At 55.2% G+C, this 22,264-nt stretch overlaps 2 protein-coding genes and 1 long non-coding RNA gene across 9 annotated transcripts, besides 7 other annotated features; 1 reads left to right on the top strand and 2 right to left on the bottom strand.

Annotated features, from left to right (window-relative positions):
* Positions 1 to 338: 338 nt before the first annotated feature.
* PCOLCE (procollagen C-endopeptidase enhancer) lies at positions 339 to 6,151 on the bottom strand. Its single transcript, NM_002593.4, has 9 exons — positions 5,963 to 6,151; positions 4,976 to 5,084; positions 4,297 to 4,555; positions 3,299 to 3,423; positions 2,702 to 2,838; positions 1,884 to 2,098; positions 991 to 1,062; positions 707 to 877; positions 339 to 577 (listed from the first exon to the last, which is right to left on the bottom strand). Exons 1-9 carry the CDS (start codon positions 6,055 to 6,057, stop codon positions 411 to 413), a joined length of 1,350 nt encoding a protein of 449 aa, NP_002584.2. The 5' UTR covers positions 6,058 to 6,151; the 3' UTR covers positions 339 to 410.
* Positions 2,645 to 2,734: an enhancer, noted in NCBI's record as "active region_26376". NCBI's record gives its function as "activates an Ori minimal core promoter by ATAC-STARR-seq in GM12878 lymphoblastoid cells {active_cell/tissue: GM12878}" and the evidence as "EXISTENCE:reporter gene assay evidence [ECO:0000049][PMID:35858748]".
* Positions 2,745 to 2,814: an enhancer, noted in NCBI's record as "active region_26375". NCBI's record gives its function as "activates an Ori minimal core promoter by ATAC-STARR-seq in GM12878 lymphoblastoid cells {active_cell/tissue: GM12878}" and the evidence as "EXISTENCE:reporter gene assay evidence [ECO:0000049][PMID:35858748]".
* Positions 3,533 to 3,682: a silencer, noted in NCBI's record as "silent region_18449". NCBI's record gives its function as "represses an Ori minimal core promoter by ATAC-STARR-seq in GM12878 lymphoblastoid cells {active_cell/tissue: GM12878}" and the evidence as "EXISTENCE:reporter gene assay evidence [ECO:0000049][PMID:35858748]".
* Positions 3,863 to 4,242: a silencer, noted in NCBI's record as "silent region_18448". NCBI's record gives its function as "represses an Ori minimal core promoter by ATAC-STARR-seq in GM12878 lymphoblastoid cells {active_cell/tissue: GM12878}" and the evidence as "EXISTENCE:reporter gene assay evidence [ECO:0000049][PMID:35858748]".
* Positions 4,250 to 5,042: an enhancer, noted in NCBI's record as "H3K27ac-H3K4me1 hESC enhancer chr7:100201095-100201887 (GRCh37/hg19 assembly coordinates)". NCBI's record gives its function as "activates a minimal SCP1, AML or CMV promoter by ChIP-STARR-seq in primed H9 embryonic stem cells {active_cell/tissue: H9 hESC(primed)}" and the evidence as "EXISTENCE:reporter gene assay evidence [ECO:0000049][PMID:30033119]".
* PCOLCE-AS1 (PCOLCE antisense RNA 1) lies at positions 4,476 to 19,113 on the top strand. The gene is made up of 9 exons (NR_038910.1): positions 4,476 to 4,676; positions 5,348 to 6,174; positions 6,831 to 6,894; positions 7,662 to 7,791; positions 8,325 to 8,474; positions 8,712 to 8,843; positions 15,440 to 15,689; positions 18,183 to 18,284; positions 18,432 to 19,113. It is a non-coding gene; the product is annotated as a PCOLCE antisense RNA 1 (long non-coding RNA).
* FBXO24 (F-box protein 24) lies at positions 7,397 to 22,186 on the bottom strand. 7 transcript variants are annotated; one of them, NM_033506.3, is made up of 10 exons: positions 21,850 to 22,186; positions 18,439 to 18,537; positions 18,157 to 18,340; positions 16,612 to 16,847; positions 15,497 to 15,731; positions 13,973 to 14,131; positions 13,291 to 13,412; positions 12,808 to 12,939; positions 8,313 to 8,483; positions 7,397 to 7,980 (listed from the first exon to the last, which is right to left on the bottom strand). In NM_033506.3, the coding sequence occupies exons 1-10, from the start codon at positions 21,886 to 21,888 to the stop codon at positions 7,615 to 7,617; spliced, it is 1,743 nt and encodes a 580-aa protein (NP_277041.1). In that variant the 5' UTR covers positions 21,889 to 22,186; the 3' UTR covers positions 7,397 to 7,614. The 7 variants fall into 7 exon arrangements, with proteins under 7 accessions (NP_277041.1, XP_011514324.1, NP_036304.2 ...); XM_011516022.1 differs by lacking the exon at positions 21,850 to 22,186 and adding an exon at positions 21,765 to 21,828; NM_012172.5 differs by lacking the exon at positions 21,850 to 22,186 and adding an exon at positions 18,721 to 18,901.
* Positions 17,756 to 18,556: an enhancer, noted in NCBI's record as "H3K4me1 hESC enhancer chr7:100187581-100188381 (GRCh37/hg19 assembly coordinates)". NCBI's record gives its function as "activates a minimal SCP1, AML or CMV promoter by ChIP-STARR-seq in naive H9 embryonic stem cells {active_cell/tissue: H9 hESC(naive)}" and the evidence as "EXISTENCE:reporter gene assay evidence [ECO:0000049][PMID:30033119]".
* Positions 21,508 to 21,627: a silencer, noted in NCBI's record as "silent region_18447". NCBI's record gives its function as "represses an Ori minimal core promoter by ATAC-STARR-seq in GM12878 lymphoblastoid cells {active_cell/tissue: GM12878}" and the evidence as "EXISTENCE:reporter gene assay evidence [ECO:0000049][PMID:35858748]".
* Positions 22,187 to 22,264: the final 78 nt, after the last annotated feature.

The raw sequence follows: 22,264 nt of genomic DNA, 5'->3' as shown, positions 1-22,264 counted from the left end.
GCTCACCGCAGTCTTACCTCCCCGGGATCAAGCGATCCTCACACCTCAACCTGAGTAGCTGGGACTACAGGTGTGCACCACCACGCCTGGCTAATTTTTGTATTTTTTTTTGTGGAGAGGGGGTTTTGCCATGTTGCCCAGGCTGGTCTTAAACTCTTGGCCTCAGCAATCCTCCTGACTCAGCCTCCCATAGTGCTGGGATTACAGCTGTGAGCAGCCACCCCTGGCCACATTCTTAAACGATTATTCTGTATAGTAAATATGTGTTGAGTTAATTAATTAATGAAAAGAAATCCTCAAGATGGACCCCAATACCATAAGCATGGAGATCTGACCCATTCCTCATTAAGAAACATTTATTTGGATAAGAAAGAAGGCCTGAGGGCTAGGGGCCGGGGCTGGCCTGCGTCTCAGTCCTGGGACGCAGCAGCCCGCACAGGTTGAGAGGGGCACTTCCTCTTGCTTAGGTTGGTGAGGATCTGGTCCTGGTTGGGCCGGTGGAGAACCACAAAGCTCTCTGGAGGAAGGACGGGGCCTCTGTTCTCTTCTACCTGGCCCATCAGCAGATAACTGACTCCTGGAAGAAGGAGGGAGGGGTTGAGATCTCTTATTCTTGAGACCTGTCAGCAGGTCTCAAGATTCCACACCTTGATCATTTCTGTGTGGCTTAGCTTGACCCATCCCCATTTCCCCACATCTCTGTTACCTTTCTTCATGGGGGGGCACTGCTTGCAAGGCACGTAAAACTTCAGGGAGGCACCAGTGGGTGGAGAAGGCAGGTCCAGTCCTCCAGTTTTATAAGCACCAATAAGACTGACAGTCACGGCAAGGCCCTCCCCTGGCTCCCGAACCATGGACTTCACTGTCGCAGTCACCACTGTGGGAGAATGGGAGTGAGAGATGAGGAGATGGGAGGTTCCAGATGGCAGGACTGGAAACAGAAGCAGGAGGTGGTTCGAGGAGCTGGAATGGGGTTGGGGGTATTCTTACCAAGGCTGCTGGCACAGAAGTTGCTCTGCAAGGTGCCTGTCCGGCGGCACTGCTTTGGGCAGGTGGGTGCATCTAGGAGGGAGGAGGGTGGAGGGTGACCTGCTCAGCAGGTAGGAGGGAGCACTGTCCCCATAACAGCCTCATTGACTTGAACTGTTCAGAGCTCTGTCAGGCTTCCGGTCCTAGCACCCAGTAGGGGTCATCGGCAGGAAGGAGGCACCAGTGAGTACCAGATGAATCAATGAGTGAATGTAGCCAAGGAAGAACTTTTTTGTTTGTTTAAGATGGAGTTTTGCTCTGTTGCCCAGGCTGGAGTGTAGCGGCACAGTCATGGCTCACTGAAGCCTCGACCTTCCCAGCTCAAGCAATCCTCCCACCTCAGCCTCCGGAGTAGCTATGACCACACGCCTGGCTAAGTTTTTTTTTTTTTTTTGAGACAGAATCTCACTCTGTAACCCAAGTTGGAGTGCAGTGGCACAATCTCGGCTCACTACAATCTCCACCTCCCAGGTTCAAGCGACTCTCCTGCCTCAGCCTCCCGAGTAGCTGGGATTACAGGTGTGTACCACCACACCTGGCTAATTTTTGTATTTTTAGTAGAGATGTGGTGTTGCCATGTTAGCCGGGGTGGTCTTGAACTCCTGACCTCAGGTGATCTGCCTGCCTTGGCCTCCCAAAGTGCTGGGATTACAGGCGTGAGCCACCAGCCCAGCCTAATTTTTTATTTTTGAAAAGACAGGGTCTTGCTATGGTAAACTCCTAGGCTTAAGCGATCCTGCTGTCTGGACCTCCCAAAATGCTGGGATTACAGGTGTGAGCCACAGCCCAGGTCAGAACTTTTTGAAATGGCCCCCTTCAGTCTGTTTCCCCTTCCTCCCCTATCCCAGACTCACCAGGGGCTGAAGGAGATTCCTCTGTTTTCTCCGGAGGTTGGGACTTGGGGGGCAGCTTGACTTTAGGCTCAGTTCCCCGTTTGGGGCCGGGCCCTTGCCCTTCTTTGGCAGTGCCCCGCGGCAGGGTCTTGTAGGAGGCTGAGAAGCCATCAGCGGTGACACTGAGATCTGAGACGAACTGGACGAGGAGTTCATTCCCTTCGGAGGAGATGGAGCTGCAGGTGGCCACCGAGCATTGGGGGAAGTGTCAGGGCGGGCGTGCACCACACTCTTCTCAGCCCCATGACCTTTTTTGTTTGTTTGAGACAGGGTCTCACTTTGTCTCCCAGGCTTGAGTGCAGTGGCTCCATCTAGGCTTACTGCAGCCTTGACCTTCTGGGTTCAAGTAATCCTCCTGCCTCAGCCCCGCAAGTTGCTGGGACTACAGGCACGCCACCATGCCCAGCTAATTATTTTGTATTTTTGGTACAGACAAGGTTGCGCCATGTTGCCCAGGCTGGTCTCGAATTCCTAAGCTCAGGTGATCCTCCCGCTTCAGCCTCCCAAAGTGCTATGATTACAGGCATGAGCCACTACCCCTGGCCAGGTGGCCTTTTAACTTCGTCCCAACTTCGCAGAGCCCCAGTCGCCTCTCTATCCGCGGACCCCAGACCCGGGGCCAAATCTCCTCTTTGCCTGGCCTCCAACCTGCTCCCCTCGCCGGTTTGGAGCCCTGGGGTTCAGATCCCGTCCCTTTAGCTGAACCCCGCCCCTCCAAACAGCCGCGTGCGTGCGGTCCGCCGACTCTCTCCCGGACTCGCCCAGGTCCCGCCCCTCACCCCGGGACTGCGTCGCCGCAGAACTTCCCCAGCCTCCGGGAGTCGTCGCTCACGGCTCCGTTGAACACGCTGACCGAGTCATAGCGGCAGTAGGTGTCCGGCTCCAGGTCAAACTTCTCGAAGGTCAGCGCGATGACCTGGCGGCGGGCGGAGGCGGGGACTGCGCGGCGGGACACCCCTGGGCGCCTGCACCTCATCTCCTACTGGGTGCCTGCAGCAGCTCCCACTCCCACCTCCCGCGTCCTCTGGGCCCCCCTCCTGAAGGCGTTCACACCACAGCACGGAGGACCACACACACCCATGGGACCCTGCAGGGGTGTCGGTCGTCGTGGTTGGCAAGGTCAAGTCCTGGCGCACTCACAAGTGACAGGCCCGCGTGTTATACCAGGACCCTGTACCTCGCTCTCCTGAGACTTGTCTCAGTTGTAATTTTTACATTTTTGTTTGCGTGCATGCAGGGGTTGGGGCTGTTTTGGGTGCCCACCAGCGCAAGCGCAGTGCTCGGGACACAGCAGATCTTCAATAAATCTCTGCTGGCTGCAAGCTGGAGGGCGCCGCCTGGGTCCCCTAGGGCAGCCCGGGGAGGAGGGTCGGTACCTGGTCCGGGGGCGCGATGATGTGCCAGGAACAGCTGATGCCCGGGGGGTAATCGGACTCGGGCCAGTTGGGCGTGGTCAGGGTTCCCTGGGCCTTCTCCAGCCGCCCCCCGCAAAATTGGTGCTCTGGGGAGGGGAGAGAGGAGCGGGGGTGGGGGGCGGTGGAGACCCTCGGTCAGCTTCAGGAGAACTCTAGGCTGGGAGCCCCGGCAGGCAGCTCGGATGTCTGGGGCTCAGGATGAGGGGACGAGAAGAAGGGGAGGTAAGATGGGGGCAGGTTAACAGAGAGCGGCCGGGAGGAGCGCGGCTCGGGGAAGTCTGGGGCCGCAGGGCGCACTGGCGGGCGGTGGAAGCGGGAGGAGGAACTGGCTGGACGCCCCCTTCTGGCCCCTCCCCGACCCGCGGCCGCACCGCGCCTCTTCCCCTAGGAGATCCCATCTCCCCGGCCCTGCAGCAGAGTCCCCTTTCAGGCTGGAGAGGGTGTCCTCGACTTGGGGCACAGCCCCCGAGGACCCCTTTAGGGAGGTCCCCGCCTGAAACATTGCAAGGGAGACTTCTGCCGCCAGGAGGGGGTGATGGGACCGCAATCGGGAGCCCAGGGCTGGGTGTAGGGGCCCCCCGGGGTTGGAGGAACCTAGTCCCCCCAGCCCTGGGGTGCCCCCTCGCGCCCGACGGAGGGAGCCCGATTGCGGACGGGGGCCGGCAGTTACTCACCGTCCCAGTAACCCCAGGCCGCCCATTCCACCCGCGGGTCGGTGACCCATTTCCGCCTCGCGCCTGGGGGGGGCCCTGGAAGAGGGATGGGTGGGTGCGGGAGGAGGGGAGAGAAGACGGGGAGGAGGGACTGAAGGGGCGGTTAGTGAGGAAAATGGGTCAGGGAGGTAGGGGGCCCTAGGCACTGGGGCGCGGGGTGGGCGGGGCGGAGGTTAGGGCTGGGGGCGGGGCTGCGGCCGGGGCGGGGCCTGGAGGGGGGGAAGGCGGAGGTGAGGGAGTTCTCACCAGTGCCCGAGGTGGCCCGCCCGCTGTACCAGAGCAGGAAGCCTCGTCCTCCTGTGCCCTCATCCGTCGTCATCCTCAGGGTCACCTGGTTGCCGGGGGCGACTAGGGGCGCAGGCCGGAAGGTCCCACAAAAGCGTCCGAGCCGCTGGCCGGAAGTCCCAGACCCAGCGAAGACCTCCAGAGCATCGTAGCGGCAGGCGGGGTGCAGCTCCAGGTCGAAGACTCGGAATGAGAGGGACACAGTCTGGCCCTCGGGGACCTGATAGCGGGGACAGAGGCGGGGACCCACAGAGTCAGGCCCCACACAACCCAGCCAGAGGGCAGCTCCCCTGCCCCAAGCGTTTCTTGCAGAAACGGACTGAATGGGAAGGGGCCTCCATGTGAGTGCAGAGCAGAGGGCCTGGTCTCTGCAGCTCTGCTGGTAGCCTGTGCAGGGGACAAGAGCTGAGGCTTTGGAAGAGGAGGGAGGGCCGGGGACTGGAGAATGAAGATTTGAGGGAAGGGTTAAGATGATGCGTGTTACGGTGGGAATGATGCCTTCAGTGACAGAGGGAAGACACTTGGAGCTGCCCCAGGTTGAGAAGGTGGTGCGGGGGGGACGGGGGGGGGGTCCCTTCGCAGTCAGGCCTTTTTGCCTCTGAGACTTTAACAAGGGGTAGTGCCCAGAGGGGTTTCTCACCGTTATGGTCCAGATGCACTCCTTATTAGGGGGGTAGAGGTTGGGGAACCCCTCACTTGCCACGTAACCTGATTCCCCCTTCACATCCCCTCCGCACAGGAACACGGGTCTGGAGAACAGAAAAGGGGTCAGGAAAGAGCAGGGACGGGTGGGACGGGGGAGCACTGGCAAGATGGGGATGAGGTGATGAGGATGAAACTCCAAGGAGGGAAGCTGGGGGATGAAATGGAAAGGCCTTGAGAGACCTGGGGCAGCTTCCACCAGCCAGGACAGGGCTGGGGTGTCCCAGACTCCCACAAAGATAAGGGAAAAGTGGGCCTGGCAACTCGACCATCCCTCCAACCCCAAGAGTCCCCACCCCCACCCCAACAGGAATTCCCGGAATCCTCCTCGGCCCCCCTTCCAGACTCCCGCCTCACTCTGCCTGGCAGTCCAGGGACAGGAGCCGCCTAACTACTTCCAGATGTGGACACAGCCACGAGGCGGTGGGGGGGAGGGGGTGGAGAGATGGAGGGAGCTGCAGTGGCGATGGCCCTCTGATTGAACCTGGAGGCCAGGCTCCGCGAGCTCCACACCTTAGCCCTGCCCCTGTTCCAAACTACTTCAGATTCTGACTCCCAAGTCTCCACTCACTGCCCCCTCCTCCCCCTACAATCCCTCTCGAATTCCTTCCTGGAATCCAGCTACCAGGCAAGTTCAGGAGCTTGGCTCTCTCTTGGGTTCTATGGGGGGTCAAGGATCTGGGTGGGTGGGGAGACTTAAGAGACCAGAGGACGAAGGTGGGGGAATGGGAGCAGTGGTGGCCTGCAGGAGACCAAGGTCTTGCAGCAGATGGGGAGGATTTGGGGGCCAGAGAAGGGTGAGGCGGTGGGGAATCTGGGGAGTGGTGTGTCAGCAAGGGAACCCAAAATATCTCCAGGCATAACCCCAAAGGAATCGGGGGTCTGAAGTTCACTGGAGCTGTCTGGAAGATGCCAAGAGACCTACCTGGTGTAGTTGGGGGTCTGGCCCTGGGCAAAAGGCAGCAGGGCGCAGGCAGTGAGGAGGGGCCCCAGGAGGGAGGCTGTGGCTGCAGGCAGCATGGCCCCGGGGGAAAGGCGCTGGGGTCCTCAAGACAGAGGCAGCAGCTGAATTTTGCAGAGCAGCAGCAGCGGTGGCGGCAGCAGCAGGATAATCAGCGCCAGATGGGGCAGCCTTGGGTGTGTGGGCGTGGGGACTGGCCAGTGGGGCGGGCAATGGGGAAGGCGGGACAGTGGCGTGTCCTGGGACCTCTCTAGGTCTAGGACACATAAATGTTGACCTTAGGAGGGGGAGGAGCAGTGAGGGGCAGAGGCCGTCTCCCAGGCCTCAAGTAACGTCATCGGGAACCCCACTCTGTCCAGTGAGGGAGTATCTCCGGGAACTTCTGAGGACTCCCTAGCCCCCATCCTCCCCCCGCCCCTGCTTCCTCAGCTCAGGAGCCCTCATTGCTCACCCCCTGCCTGACCACCCCTGCCAGCTCATTTTCCACTTCAATTTCTTTTTTTTTTTTTTTTTTTTTTTGAGACAGAGTCTCATTCTGTGACCCAGGCTGGAGTGCAGTGGCGCGATCTCTGCTCACTGCAACCTCCGCCTCCCGGGTTCAAGCAATTCTTGTGCCTTAGCCTCCCGAGTAGCTGGGACTGCAGGTGCATGCCTCCACACCTGGCTAATTTTTGTATTTTTAGTAGAGGCAGGGTTTCAGCATGCTGTCCAGGCTGGTCTCAAATTCCTAGCCTCAGGTGATCCGCCCACCTCGGACTCCCAAAGTGCTGGGATTATAGGCGTAGCCACCACACCTGGCCTCCACTTCACATCTCCATTGCCTTCTCTCCAGACCTGGGCCAGACTAGGCCAAGGAGAAGGAATTCTCACCCATGACCTCTTCCAACTACTTGAAGGTACAGGAAGCAAGGCAGGAGGCATGGGGTGTGGATGAAGGGAGTGTCCTTGTTACTCAGGAAGAGGTGGAAGGAGTAGAAAATAGAGCCCAAACCTGGGAGGTAAACAGAAGGGAGAGAGGAGGGGGGCTGGCTTCAGGCCGAAGGGAGATGGGTGGGAAGCTTTCGGGGGTCAGGAGGAACAGGCTGCCTCAGGATGGGGACAAGTCTAGTGGGCAGGGGATCCCAGTGGGGTAGCCAAGAGCATCTGTGCATAGAGTTGTTCCAGAAGGTAGGGCCAGAACTTCCCAGTCCAAACGACCAGGTGTGCTCTTGGGAGCAGGGAGTGGACAACAATGTGAAGGGTTCAGGCAGCATCAGCTCTGCTGCACCTGAGACCTGGAGCTGCTTGTGCTGCCTGCCCCTGCCTGGGCTCCTGCCCTCCTGCACCCACCAAGCCGGGCACCCACCCACCCCATCCCTGCCCCTGTCCCTCCCAGCCCCCAAGGCTTCCACACCAGGCCTCGCTGCAGCCTTTTATTCTATCCATCAAATCTCTTGTCCATGATAGTCAGGTTGGGGGCCCCTCCTGGGCAGCCCCCTGAACATTCTTACCCTGGTTAGCCGTCCCCACCCCCTAGCAACCCCTTCCCACACGCATGTGCACAATGGTCATTGCTCCTTAGTCCCTGGCCTGGGGCCGGACTCCCTCCTCCAGGGACTAGGCTAGCATGAGGGGGATTAGGTCTCAGGGGCTGGGGGCCCTACACCACCCCCGCCTCCTTCAGCCCTCTGCAGCATGTCCAGGGCCTCCCAGAAGAAGTCCTTCTGTGCGGCCATCAGGGGCATCCACCCTACGATCTCCTTCATCTTCTCCGTGCGGTCCTGCAACGTTTGGCAACTGTGGATCTGGCTGAGGTACTCCTCGCAGGCCTGGGCCATCCCCCCGGGGTCCTGGGGTGCTCTGGCCCCCAGGCTGGGCTCAGGAGTCCCCACCACCCTGCTGGCTGGCAGGTGGCGATAGGGGGCGTGCTGCTCAATGTCGTGGCTGGACAGGATGTATAGGCACTCCCTGGTGGCACAGAGGGCACAGGCACACAGAGGGACCTTGGAGGAGGAGAGAAAGGGGGCATGGCTGAGTGGTGCTTTCCTTGCAGGGTTTCCCAGGGTGCCCGGGCTAATCTGCCTATTGCATTCTTCCCTCTCACACCAGCCCTGAGCCGGCTAAGTCCCAGGGGTGTGTGAGGTTGGGCAAGGCCAGCACAGTCTGCTAAGGGAGAAAGCAGAGAGCGTGGTGTGCGGCAGAGGAGGGAGGTGGGGTGGTGCTAGGGAAATGGGACCCCCTGGGTCCCTGCAGGAGCCCCAGCTACAGCCTGTGGGCTTCCTGGTTCATGGCTCTCATCCTCCCTGGGTGCCCACTCTCCTGACCCCGCTCTGACCTTGACTTGGAGCTTGACGAAGGAGGCACTCCCCTTGGGCCAGCCTGGGAGGCGGCCCCCAGCCCCACAGCCGCAGCCCAGCAGCTCCTTGCTGAACTCTGAGCTCTGGCTCAGCACCAGGGAGTGGTTGAGGCCGCACCACAGGGTGATGGGCCGCTGCAGGTAACAAACCTGGGGACACACGGCCAGGGTCCCTGAGCAGGGAGCACCAAGGGACGGGGGGGCTGGGGTGGGAAAAGGTTGACTGGAAGGCTCGGGGCAGAATGAACTGGGGAGGAGGAAATGGGAGCCAGCACTGTCCCACGCCCCAGGTCTGCCCTGCTGACCCCTGCAGCCCCCATACTCTAACTGGTCACATAGGGTCTTGCACTTCTGTTGGTATCTCATCTATGCCCCCAGAAAATCAGCTCCTTGCCTGAGCCCAGGGCCTGCTGTGGTGTACCCCTCATTCTCAGCCCACCCGTCTATGCCAGTCCAGCCTCTCATCCTGCCTGCCAGCCTCGGGGAGACTTGCTTCTTGTGCAATTCCAGGTTAGACCCCAACACCACCCTGAGGAAGGACTTTCCCTTCCACTATCCCTCCCTTCCTGCTCTAGTATTATCTTTTCTTTCTTTCTTTCTTTTTTTTTTTTTTGTTTGAGACAGAGTCGGAAGGCTGGAGTGCAGCAGTGCGATCTCGGCTCACTGCAACCTCTGCCTTCCTGGGTTCAAGTGATTCTCCCACCTCAGCCTCCCAAGTAGCTAGGACTACAGGTCCTTGCCACCACACCCATCTAATTTTTGTATTTTTAGTAGAGAAGGGGTTTTGCCATGTTGACCAGGCTGGTCTCGAACTCCTGACCTCAGGTGATCTGCCTGCCTTGGCCTCCCAAAGTGCTGGGATTACAGGCATGAACCACTGAGCCCAGCCTCCACTCTAGCATTTTTATTTTCTCTTTTCTTTTTTTAGAGATGGGGTCTCATTCTGTTGCCCAGGCTGAAATGCAGTGGTGCAATCATAGCTCACTGCAGCCTTGACCTCCTGGGCTCAAGCCATTCTTCTGCCTCAGCCTCCTGAGTAGTTGGGAATACAGGCATGTGCCACCACACCCGGCATGTGCCTATAATTTTTAAATTTTAAATTTTTAAATTTTCTATAGAGATAGTGTCTCACTATGTTGCTCATGGTGATCTCGAACTCCGGGCCTCCCACCTCAGCCTCTAGCATTTTTTTTTTTTTTGTAGAGACGGAGTCTCGCTCTGTTGCCCAAGCTGAAGTGCAGTGGCACGATTTCAGTTCACTGCAACCTCCGCCTCTCCAGTTCAAGCAATTCTCCTTCCTCAGCCTCCCGAGTAGCTGGGACTATGGGTGCACACCGCCACACCTGGCTAATTTCTTTTGTATTTTAGTAGAGACGGGGTTTCACCATGTTGCCCAGGCTGGTCCCGAACTCCTGGGCTCAGGCAATCCACCTGCCTTGGCCTCCCAAAGTGCTAGGATTACAGGTGTGAGCTAGTTGAAATGCTTAGCCTAGCATTTTCAACTTATCACATAATTCTTTTCCAAAATGGCCACCCTGTTTTTGAAAAAAAAGCTTCTACTTGCTTCCTGCCGCTTCCTGCCTCTCTCTCTTAAGCAGCAGAGTTGGTTACATGACCAATCTGAGGCTGACCACATTACTGTTCCTTCCCACAGCCAGTCTATCCAGCACCTCCCTGGGATCTCGCTTTTCTCTCTATTACATTACTGACATGCTCTCTCTAGAGGCACTTGGCCTCTCAGTGGCTAAATCCCAGGGCGTCTTCTGCCCCCTCATTCTCCTGAGCCTGTTAGCGCTTTAATTCTGAAGACACTGATAAGTAATTTATGGTCATTCTAGAAAAATTATGAAACATTGGCAAGCAAAAAATTAATTTTAAAATCATTGGAAATCCCACCATCTACTATTAACATCTTGCTAGATATTCTTCACTGTTGGCTAAACAAACAAATACACATAAATTGTATATTTTTTATTTTTTAGAGATAGGGTCTCAGTGTCACCCAGGCTGGAGTGCAGTGGTGATCACAGCTCACTGCAGCCTTCAACTCCTGGCCTCAAGCAATCCTCCTGTCTCAGCCTCCTGAGTAGTTGGGATTACAGATGTCAGCCACCATGATGGGCAAGTTGTGTATTTTTAAACAAAAAATGGGATGGGGCCAGGTGTGGTGGCTCACACCTGTAATCCCAGCACTTTAGGAGTCTGAGGTGGGAGGATTGCTTAAAGCCATGAGTTCAATATAAGCTTGGGCAACATAGCAAGACCCTGTCTCTAAAAAAAAAAAAAACAAAAAAAACAAAAAAAACAAAAACTTATCTGGGCGTAGTGGCGCATTCCTGTAGTCCTAGCTGCTTGGGAGGTTGAGGCGGGAGGATCTCTTGAGCCCTGGAGTTGAAAGCTGCAGCAAGCTACGATTGTGTCACTGCACTCCAGCTTGGGAAGCAGTGGAGACCATGTCTCAAAAAAGTAATAATAAAAATAAAAAGAGGCTGGGTGCGGTGGCTCACACCTGTAATCCCAGCACTTTGGGAGGCCAAGGTGTGCAGATCACCTGAGGTCAGGAGTTTGAGACCAGCCTGGCCAACATGGTAAAACTCCGTCTCTACTAAAAATACAAAAATTAGCCGGGCATGGTGGTGGGCGCTGTAATCCCATCTTGGCAGGCTGAGGCAGGAGAATCACTTGAACCTGGGAGGCAGAGGTTGCAGTGAGCCGAGATCGCGCCATTGCACTCCAGCCTGGGAGACAGAGCAAGACTCTATCTTGAAAATAAAATAAAAATAAAAATAAAAATAAATGGTACTATGTAAACCATTTCATAAAAGTCTTTTTCACCTAAAAATATGGCATGACTATCTTTTCCATGTCAGTAGTAAATGTATCTTACATTGTCACACCATCAATTAACCCTACCACCCACCCCATTTGGAACTTCCTTCTCATGTGGCTTCTGGGACAGTGTTAGAGGGGTGCACGGCCTGTCTTAGAGGCACCTCTTCATCCCCTGTCTACCACAGGGCCTACTTCTCAGAGTTGCTTTTCAGTCTCTACTTCTGTTTGTTCAACCATGTTCCCAGGTAGAATCTAATTGCCAGCTAGACGTTTCCAATTGAGTGTGGTTTTTGTTTTGTTTTGTTTTGAGACAGAGTCTCTCTCCGTTGCCCAGGCTGGAATGTTGTGGCACGATCTCGGCTCACCGCAACCTCTGCCTCCCAGGCTCAAGCAATTCTCGTGCCTCAGACTCCCGAGTAGCTGGGACTAAAAGCACCCACCACCACACCTGGCTAATTTTTTATTTTTTCTAGAGACAGGGTTTCACCATGTTGTCCAGGCTGATCTCATGCTCCTGGGCTCACGTGATCCACCCACCTTGGTCTCCCAAAGTGCTGGGATTACAGGTGTGAGATATCTTTCTTCCAGAGCCACCTCTGTCTTATACCCCTCTCTTCTACATCTAATCAGTTTTGAGGCCCTATTCATTTTCTTCCCAAATAGCTCCTGTATCCATTCCTTCCCATTCTCGCTGCAGCACCAGGCGCTTGTCTCAAGTGCTGTCATCACTCAACAGCCTCCTGGCGGGCTCCCCTCCTTGGCCTCCTCTGCACAAGGCTCCTGACACATTCTCAGTCACCTCTTGGGGGTTGCCTTCTCCTATTCCAGAACCTGCAGTGACTCTTCCCCAAATCTACACCTCTCTAAGCTTGTGCCCACCTGTACCACCTCATACCTCAGTGATTCCCAAGATGCCTTCTGTGCTTTAGTGAGACCCGTCTTGTCACTGTCCCAGGTATGTGCAAGTTTCGTGCCTATCCCCCTCCTCATCACACAGAATGCCTTCTCTATCCCTACCTAAGTCTTATGTAACCCACGATGCCCTGCTCACATCTTTTTTCTTTTTCTTTGAGACGGAGTCTCGCTCTGTGGCCCAGGCTGGAGTAGGGTGGCACGATCTCAGCTCACTGCAACCTCAGCCTCCCAGGTTCAAGAGAATCTCCTGCCTCAACCTCCTGAGTAGCTGGGATTGCAGGCATGTGCCACCACAGCCAGCTAATTTTTTATATTTTTGGTAGAGACGGGGTTTCACCATGTTGCCCAGGCTGGTCTAGAACTCCTGACCTCAAGTGATCTGTCCACCTCGGCCTCCCAAAGTGTCGGGATTACAGGCGTGAGGCTCTGCACCTGGCCCCTGCTCACATCTTACCTCTTCTAGAAGTCTCTAGCCTGCCCAGGTCACCCACCCTACCCCTTCACTAAATTCCTATTGCATTTACAGTGTGCACTGCACAGAATGGACCTCGTAGTGCCAACCCTGGGTAAGACATGGGGTAGTACCACTGGCATTACATACTGAGTGGCTTAACTTCCCAAAGGAACAGAAATTGGATTCTGTGGAATCTGGAGAAGTGGACAGATCTGGGGGTTAGGGAATTGGAGGAAAGGGGTTGGGATGAGAGTTGCTGGGAAATAGTCTCACCTGTGTGGGTTCCCCTCGGTCCATTTTGTCCCCTGTTCCTAGCTGCCCGTATCTGTTATTTCCTTGCATGAAGATTCGGCCAAATTCATCCACCAGGCCAAGGTGGTTGTAGCCAAGAGCACAGAATAGGATCTAGCGTGCAAGATAGAAAGGGGATAGGGATTCCATTCCCTCCAGAGGAACTCTGAGTTCCAGAGTCTCCAAGCCACTAACCTGCCATCCCCAGCTGATCTCTTTCTATATATATATTTTAGAGATGGGATCTCACTATGTTGCCCAGGCTGGTCTAGAGCTCCTGGGCTCAAGCGATACTCCCTCCTCAGCCTCCCTCCGCACCGAGCCCCCAGCTGATCTCTTTTGGCATACCTCTCCCTGGGGATCCCCTGCCCCTCTGGATCAATAATCTGATTCCTATAATACTTCAGACCTTCCAATCCCTACAGCGCCACCCCTCTGGTTTGCCCCGTCCCTCCAGGAGCCTACCTTGGCAGGCAGTGAGAGAGCAAGCGGCATCTGCTGGTCCAGGGGGTCAAAGGCTTGAAGGGTCCCAAAGAGATCGCGATACACCCCTGGGGTATGCACCTCAAAATACACTCCCCCCTGGTCTGGGGGGTCAGGAGCCCTCAGCTCAGCAGCTTTGGGCACCCATTTCCTAGGGATAAGGCCCCACCTGGGATGAAAGCTACAAGATCCAAGGAGTCTCATACCCACTAGGAATGCATCAACTATGATGCCTGGGAACTGAAAACACATCTTTTGAGACCGAGTCTCCCTCGGTCACCCAGGCTGGAGCGAAGTGGCACGATCTCAGTTCACTGCAACCTCTACCTCCTGGTTCAAGTGATTCTCCTGTCTCGGCCTCTGGTGTAGCTGGGATTACAGGCGCCTGCCATCACACCCAGCTAATTTTTGTATTTTAGTAGAGATGGGGTTTCGCCATGTTGGCCAGGCTGGTCTTGAACTCCTGACCTCAGGTGATTCACCTGCCTCGGTTTCCCAAAGTGATGGGATTACAGGCATGAGTCACCATGCCGGCCCTAAACACATCTTTTCACTAGGATGCCCTCAGGGGTTCACCATGCAGCTGGAGTAAGGGTGAAGGGTGTTGATGTTTAGAGGGTCTAACCAAGGCTGCGGGCTTGAGCCGGGGGGAGGTGGTCCATACCTGTGACGTAGAGGGTGCTGCTCTGGTTGGAAGTCATGCAGGCCACGCGCAGGTGAGGCAGGTAGTGGGACACCTTCCTCAGGGCCAGCTGAACCGTGTAGGAGCGTGGCTGGTCAAGCTGGGTCTCATTCACTACCAAAGAGTAGATCTTTCCTTCCTCTGGGGGTAGGGGAAGCAATTAGTTGGGGAGGGGATTCTCCAATATCCACATAAACATCCCAAGAGACTCCCTAGGCCATATGGGTGACACATTTACTGCCCTAGAGTGGGGCTGAGAAAGAAATAAGGGAAGAGTGACCCCAAGTCCCCCAGACTCCAGTTCCCACCATAAATCAGGGAAGTACTTCAGCATGAGAGATGAGCAGAGAGAAAAATCTAGCAGATTTGTTAGAATCCGATTTGAGTGAGAGGTCTGGGGATTGAGGGCCCTGCCTGGCATTCAGAAGTTTAGAGGTGGTCAAGTGTGGTGGCTCACACCTGTAATCCCAGCACTTTGGGAGGCCAAGGCAGGAGGATCACTTGAGGCAGGGAGTTCGAGACCAGCCTGGGCAACATAGCAAGACCCCATCTCTACCTTGCTCCAAAAAAGAAAAAAATATTTTAAGAAAAAGCCTAAAGGGTCTCAGGCCTGGGGATGTGGTTGAGTATAAAGGACATTGGGAAAGTAGGGAGCAGTTTGGAGTATAGTGAGGTGGTTGGCATGGAAGCTGGGGACATCTGATTTTTTTTTTTTTTTTTTTTTTTGGAGATGGAGTCTCACTCTGTCACCCAGGCTGGAGTGCAGTGGCATAATCTCGGCTCACTGAAACCTCCACCTCCTGGGTTCAAGCGATTCTCCTGCCTCAGGCTCCCAAGTAGCTGGGACTACAGGTCCATGCCACCACGTCCGGCTAATTTTTTTTTTTTTTTTTTTTTGAGACGGAGTCTCGCTCTGTCACCAGGCTGGAGTGCAGTGGCGTGATCTCGGCTCACTGCAACCTCTGCCTCCTGGGTTCAAGGGATTCTCCTGCCTCAGCCTCCCAGGTAGCTTAGACTACAGGCACGCGCCACCACGCTTGGCTAATTTTTGTATTTTTTTTTAGTAGAGTCAGGCAGGGTTTCACCATGTTGGTCTCGATCTCTTGACCTCGTGATCCACCCGCCTTGGCCTCCCAAAAACTGGGATTACAGGTGTGAGCCGCCGCACCCGACCTAATTTTTGTATTTTTTAGTAGAGATGGGGTTTCGCCATGTTGGCCAGGCTGGTCTCAAACTCCAGATCTCAGGTGATCTGCTCACCTCGGCCTCCCAAAGTGCTGGGGTTACAGGTGTGAGCCACCACACCTGGACAGGGCCTTTTATTCATATAAAATATTAAGCAGAATCCTAGACTAGGAGACAGAGAAGGGCAGAGCTGTTTAGATGGAGACTAGGATAAGGTGGCATATGGAACCCAGTCTGAGGGGCCTCCCTCCCCCTCCTCTGCAGCAGGGTCTGAGGAATCTGCAGGAAACAGTTTGCAAAAGCCATTGCTTTGGGCCACACCTGTGAGGAGCAGTAGAGCCCGCTGGGTCTCCTGACCAACCAGCACGATCTGCTTGAAGGTCATTGAGTGGTGGAATGTCATCTTGAAGACCCGCTGCCCACTAGACTGCAGATAGACCTCAACACAGTCACAGGCCCGGCTGCTGGTGGTACCCACCACTTCCTGCGGCTCCCGAGTGGCCAAGACGTAGAGGTATTTACGGTAAACTGTGTCACACCTTGGGTCCGAGGCAAACTGGGGGAAAAGATGAGGGCGTCTGGGATCTAGAGTTTCAAAATGGGATGGGGCTGGGGCAGCTGGATCCTGGGGTGGGAAGTGAAATGCTTGGGTCCAGAGTTGGGAAATGAGCCCTTGATTTCAGGTTCCTATGTGGGAGGGCAGAAGTCATAGGAAAGACACCTCAAGACTGATGGGGGCCTGGGTCCTCAAAAGAGAGGTGGTGATATGGTTAGGCTCTGTGCCCCCACCCAAATCTCATCTCGAATTGTAATACCCAGTGGGAGGTGATTGGCTCACGGGGGCAATTTCCCCCATGTTGTTTTCGTGATAGTGGGTTCTCACGAGGTCTGACGGATTTATAAGGCAGTTTTCCCTGCTCTTGCTTGTGTGCTCTCGCCTGCTGCCATGTAAGACGTGCCTCTTTCCCTTCTGCCATGATTGTAAGTTTCCTGAGGCCTCCCCAGTCATGTGGAACTATGAGTCAATTAAACCTCTTTGCCTTATAAATTACCCGGTCTCAGGTATGTCTTTTTTTTTCGAGACGGAGTCTCCCTCTTGTTGCCCAGGCTGGAGTGCAAGGGTGCGATCTCAGCTCACTGCAGCCTCTGCCTCCCAAGTTCAAGCAATTCTCCTGCCTCAGCCTCCCAAGTAGCTGGAATTATAGGCACCCACCACCACACCCAGCTAATTTTTGTATTTTTAGTAGAGACGGGTTTCGCCATTTGGCCAGGCTGGTCTCGAACTCCTGGTCTCAGCTGATCCGCCTGCCTCAGCCTCCCAAAGTGCTAGGATTACAGGTGTAAGCCACTGCACCCGGCCTCTGGTACGTCTTTATAGCAGTGTGAAAATGGACTAATACAGGTGGGCTCTCAGCTGCCAGGGTTCTGCTACTCACATCCTTGGCTCCACGACACAACACAACATAGCGACAGGCCCGCTTCCACTGCATCTGGCCGAGGGTGGAGACCAGGGCATTTTTGAGGAAGAAGAGGGTCCCCACGTAGTCAAGAATGAAGACGTGATCCTTGGTGGGCAAGAAGCGGCGGTAGCCGTGGGCTAGCAAGGGGGCCACGCTCTTGCTGAGACATCGGCGGCGGCCTCCAAATGCCTGGAAATACAGGCCCTTCGTGTCTGGAGGAAGGAAGGAGATGGAAGGTTCAAGGGATGAGATGACACGAGGGAGATGAGTTGGAGCTTGGGTAGATTTCTTAGACACGCTGGTTTGTAGTTCCTCCCCATCCCCAGGACAGGGGAACAAACAGACCCCTTATGAAGGAGATGTGGAAAATAAGCTTAGATTATACTCGACATGTGAACTTTAGTCTCCACCCCACCTCAGCCCAGGGTCAAACATTTGCTTCTTAGTGAGCAGTTCTTTGGTGCAACCTTGCATCAGTGATGTTGAGGAAAACTCTAAGAATAAAGACACAGAGGCTGCGTGCGGCATCCACCCCCCTCACCCTGAGCCCCTCCTCCCATCCTCACAGCTCAGTGAATTTTTGCACGCCTGTAATCCCAGCACTTTGGGAGCCCAGGAGTTTGAGACCAGCCTGGGCAACGTGGCAAAACCCCATCTCTACTAAAAATACAAAAATTATCCGGGTGTGGTGGCGGGAGCCTGTAATCCCAGCTACTCAGGAGGCTGAGGCACGAGAATACTTGAACCCGGGAGGTGGAGGTTGCATTGAGCCAAGATTGCACCACTGTGCTCCAGCCTGGGTGACAGAGCAAGACCCTGTCTCAAAAAAAAAAAAAAAAAAAAAAAATCAAAGAAAAAGAAAGAAAAGAGAAGAGACAGAAACAGGAGTGAAAAGGAATGATTGATGAAGGCCGGTCATCCTCCCTCACCCCTAGCTTTGGATCTGTTTTCTGGGTCCCCCTTCTCTTTTAATCTCCCAGTGAGTGTAAGAAGTACACCCTGGGGGATCCCTGGAGGGGAAGAGGGTTTATGGCATGGTTCTCAGGCTAGGGGTGATTTTGTCCTTCAAGGGCATTGGTTGTCACAATTAAGGGGGATGCTGCTGGCCATCTGGTGGGTGGAGGCCAGGGTTGCTGCTTAAACATCCCACCATGCAGAGGACAGCTCCCCACATCAAGGAATTATTTTGCCCAGAATATCAACAGTGAGTTCAGAAGCCTTGGGTTAGAGGAGGGAAAACTCCAGGTTTGGGGAGTGAGGGATGCCTCTAGGGAAAAAGCGGGAAGTGTCTGTGTACAGAGGGAGACTTGGCAGGGAGGCCGCTAACGGGGGCTGTGGGTGGATTCCGAAGACTTGGAGGAAGTACTCAAGGGAGAATGTTTGAACTGGACCCGTTTCTTCCGGAGAAAGGGGCCCTGGAAGCACTGTTGGGAGTGTGGGGGTCATCAGGGGACTTTAGAGAGCAGGAAGGCTAAGGCGGGACAGAGGCAAGGAGAACGGGAGGTTCTGGGGAAGGTGTACAGTTCAGAATGGCAGCTCTCTTCCAGGGCCGGACTCCAGAACCCTGATCTTGGAGGCGCGGACTGAGTCTGCGACAGATGCGTCTCCACACGCCTTCCCCATCGCACACTTCGTGGAAGTAGCGGCAGGTCTGGCCGAGGGCAACAAGGTCTCTGACTGGGAGGAATGAGATGATATGCTCCACCTGGGAGGGAGGAGGGAAGAAGCGGGGAGTCTTTGGTGGCCCCTCGGTGATCTGGCCCCCAATCCTATTATTCTCAATCCCCCTCCCCAAGGACTCACCAGCTCTGGGGGGAACAACTGGATGGAAATCGGATTTCCTTTCCCCCTCTTCTCTTCAACCCCAAGCTCCGAGCCACAAGAAGGGCAGCTTCTCTTCACCTACCCAAGAAGGGGTGCATAGGGTCCCATGAGGGTCCCACATCCTTTTTTCCCTTCTCTCCGCCTACCTTGGGGCTCATCTGACTCTAGCTGGGCACAGTTATTTCCTCCCCTCTCTCTCCAGACCCATCCCTAACTTCTCCAAATAACTCCTCCCGATCTCCTGCGGCCAATCCCCCTCACCCGGAGCCCCTCCTCCCGTCCACACAGCCTGGTGAATTTTTGCAGCTTCCGTCTCTGGCTTCCCCTGACCATCCTGATTGCCCCCTCCCTGCTCCTGCCCTCCTGTCTCCTAGGCCCTTGGCCCCCCCGTTCCTGCTGGCTTTCCCACACCATGTCCCCAGCCTAGGCTTGGGGGACCTCTGAGGCCCCTCTGCCTCCTAGGCCCCTCCCCCATGGAGTCTGGGGCTAACAAACCTCTCTGTGACCTCACTGTTTGGCCACTGTGACCTGTTCCCTTTAATCTTGCCCAGGACCCATCTCTTAGACAGCTCCTGGGTTCTAGCTCAGTTCTAGCCATCACATGGCTCAAGGGATATGCATTTTACTGGAGAAATAAAGTGTGAATTACTGGTAGGTGACATCTTTATTTCAGGGAGCAGGAGGAAGTTTTCCTATTTGAGGCCCTTTTAGCACTAACTCTGTAGAGAAACACTAGTGAATTCCTCACATTTCAGCAGGCCAAGGCCTCTAGGGATTGGTAGCTCAAGAGTATAGACTCAAAAAACTATAAACTCAGTTTGACAGGTGAGATGGAGAGGTGACTGTGCTAATAATCGTTTAGCTCACAAATGATTCAGCAAACTCTTTAGACTTGTGAAAAAACACATCCAAAAGGAGACTGCAGCCTGGTGCCGGTGGCTAACGCCCGAAATCCCAGCACTTTTGGGTGGCCATGGTGCAAGGATGGCTTGAGGCCATGGGTTTCAAGACCAGCCTGGTCAACATAGACCCTGCGTCTATTAAAAAAAAAAAAAAACTTAAAAATTACCCAGGCGTGGTGATGCACCCCTGTAGTCCCAGCTACACAGGAGGCTGAGGCAGGAGGATTGCTTGAGCCCAGTTTGAGGCAGCAGTGAGCTATGATCGTGCCACTGCACTCCAGCCCGGGCGAGAATGATACCCAGTTTCAAAAAAAACAAACAAAAAAGAAGACTGCTTTTGCTTTCCTGAGGGACAGTAACATCATTGCATGTATAAAGGACAACCTATTAAGGTGGGAGAAAGGGATGGATTTCCTCTGAAAGCTTAGGATTTCTCCCAGGGTCTCTGATATTAGCTTTGTCTTATGTGGGGTGACATTTATCAGGAGAAACAGCAGGGGTCAGGGTTGTGTCTGTCCCACTCAGGCCAGATCTACACCAATAAATCCAAGGAGTGGCTGGCTCTTGCAGGGGCTCAAAGGAGTCCCATCCTGCCAGACCACCAGCCCTCACCACACAGTGTCACAGATCCGTTCATTGACTGCACCAGACTGACCACCCAAATTCCCTTATGTATGGTGCCTAGCCATGGCTAGGCTGGGATGCCTGAGATGGAATTTTAATTCTTCAGCAACTACTCAGGAATATCAACCTCTGAGATGTGAACTAAGGAGAAAGCAACTTCAGTGACTTATTTCTGGGCAACCTACCACATAGGGAGGGGACTGCATTAGGGACTCATGCCACTTAGAAAGGAAGATCTCCAAGTAGACAGAAAGGTATTTTCCATTCCTCTTGCATTTGGGTCCCCTTTATCCACTCCATTTCACCCCAGGAGGCAAACGAGAGGTTGTGAATAGAAAAAGTCCACTGTGGGCCAGGCTTTGTGGCTCACGCTTATAATCCCAGCACTTCGGGAGGCCGAGGTGGGAGCATTGCTTGAGCCCAGGAGTTTGAGATCAGCCTGGGCAACATAGTAGGACCCTGTCTCTACAAAAAATACAATTAGCTGGCATGGTGGTGCGTGCTTGTAGTCCCAGTTACTCGGGAGGCTGAGGTGGGAGGTTGAGGCTGCAGTGAGCTGCGATCAAGCCACTGCACTCCAGCCTGGGCAACAGAGCGACTCTGTCTCAAAAGAAAGAAAAAGTCCACTGTGGGCCGGGTGCGGTGGCTCACGCCTGTGATCCCAGTACTTTGGGAGGCAGAGGCAGGATCGCTTGAGGTCAAAAGTTTGAGACCAGCCTGGGCAACATAGCAAAACCCCATCTCTACAAAAATTGAAAATAAATTAGCCAGGTGCAGTGGTGCCGCCCGTGGTCCCAGCTACTTGGGAGGCTGAGGCAGGAGGATCACTTGAGCCCAGGCATTCAAGGCTGCAGTGAGCCATGACTGCACCACTGCACTCCAGCCTGGGCGACAGAATCAGACCTTCTTAAAAAAAAAAAAAAAAAGGCCGGGCGCGGTGGCTCACGCCTGTAATGCCAGCACTTTGGGAGGCCGAGGAGGGCATATTGCCTGAGCTCCTGAGTTTGCGACCAGCCTGGGCAACACGGTGAAACCCCGTCTCTACTAAAATACAAAAAATTAGCCGGGTGTGGTGGCGGGCGCCTGTAGTCCCAGCTACTCGGGAGGCTGAGGCAGGAGAATTGCTTGAACCCGGACAGTGGAGGTTGCTGTGAGCCGAGATCGCGCCACTGCACTCCAGCCTGGGCGACTGAGCGAGACTCCATCTCAAAAAATAAAAAAATAAAAAGAGGAAGGGAACGGAAGGGAGAGGGAGGGAGGGAGGAAGAGAGGAAGGGAGTGAAAACATCCACTGTGAAAACTGAGGGAGCGGGAAAGGGCTGTGCGTGGAGGATCCAGAGACCTGGTTTCTAGAGCAAGCCAGCTGTCAGGAACTTGCTGTTCGCTCTTGCTAACGCATCAACTTCCCTCTGCCTCAGTTTCTGCATTCGTAGCACCAAGGGCGTGTTCTAGGCGGTGAGATCCTTTCTAAGCCTCTAAAACCCCGTGGTCTGGTCCCCTCTCCATTCCTGTCCAGGGGAGCTCCTCGGGTGAGACGGCAGACCGTGCAACGCTGCACCTACACCCTCCCTCCTCGAGCTGGGCATCTCCAGGCTCTGGGAAGCCCCCCGCCCGCCCCCAGCCCGGGGGTCCCGAGACCCCTGCCAGAGGCTTCACAGTCGGAGGTCCCCCCGCTGCCCCTTCAGCTGCGACAACCGCCAGTGCACTGGCCTCAAGCAGTCGCCCGAATCCCCTCAAGCCCTGGACGCCGGCTAGCCCCCTAACACGTCCAGCTCGCACTCGCCACTGCAGCGGCGAACTGCGTTCCCGGCCGGCCAGGGGCTCCGCGTTCATTCTTAACCTCAGTCTTAAAGTTCTAGCTCACCCGCCTCCTCCTTAGCAAAGGGACCGCCTTCTCGCCCATGCTATTGGTAGGTAGAGCCGTCCCTCAGAGAAGAGGCAGGTCCAGATTCCCTTCGGAGGCTCTAATTGGCCTTCTTGACAGTCACTCGCCTGTATCTGGCTTACGATTGGTCTTTGGGGGACGAGGACTAGGCACCCCCTGCTTGCGGTCCCTCGGCCCGTTTTCCTGCTAGTGGAGTGCCGGTGTCCCCTCCTCTTGGTTGGACCTGATTGGCTCCACCTCCCGATCTGAGCATTGTGATTGGGTGCAGCTGCGCTGGGCGGGACGGCCTGGAGCGTCGGCCGTTGGCGAGCGCTCTATCCTTGTTCCCCTCCCTTCTCTCGTCAGACTCCGGCGCCGGAGCTCCACCCCCACTGACGGGTTCTGATTGGCCGCT

The sequence above is a fragment of the Homo sapiens genome, chromosome 7 (assembly GCF_000001405.40).
Source record: "Homo sapiens chromosome 7, GRCh38.p14 Primary Assembly".
NCBI lineage: Eukaryota > Metazoa > Chordata > Mammalia > Primates > Hominidae > Homo > Homo sapiens.
This window is presented reverse-complemented; position numbering and strand designations above follow the sequence as displayed.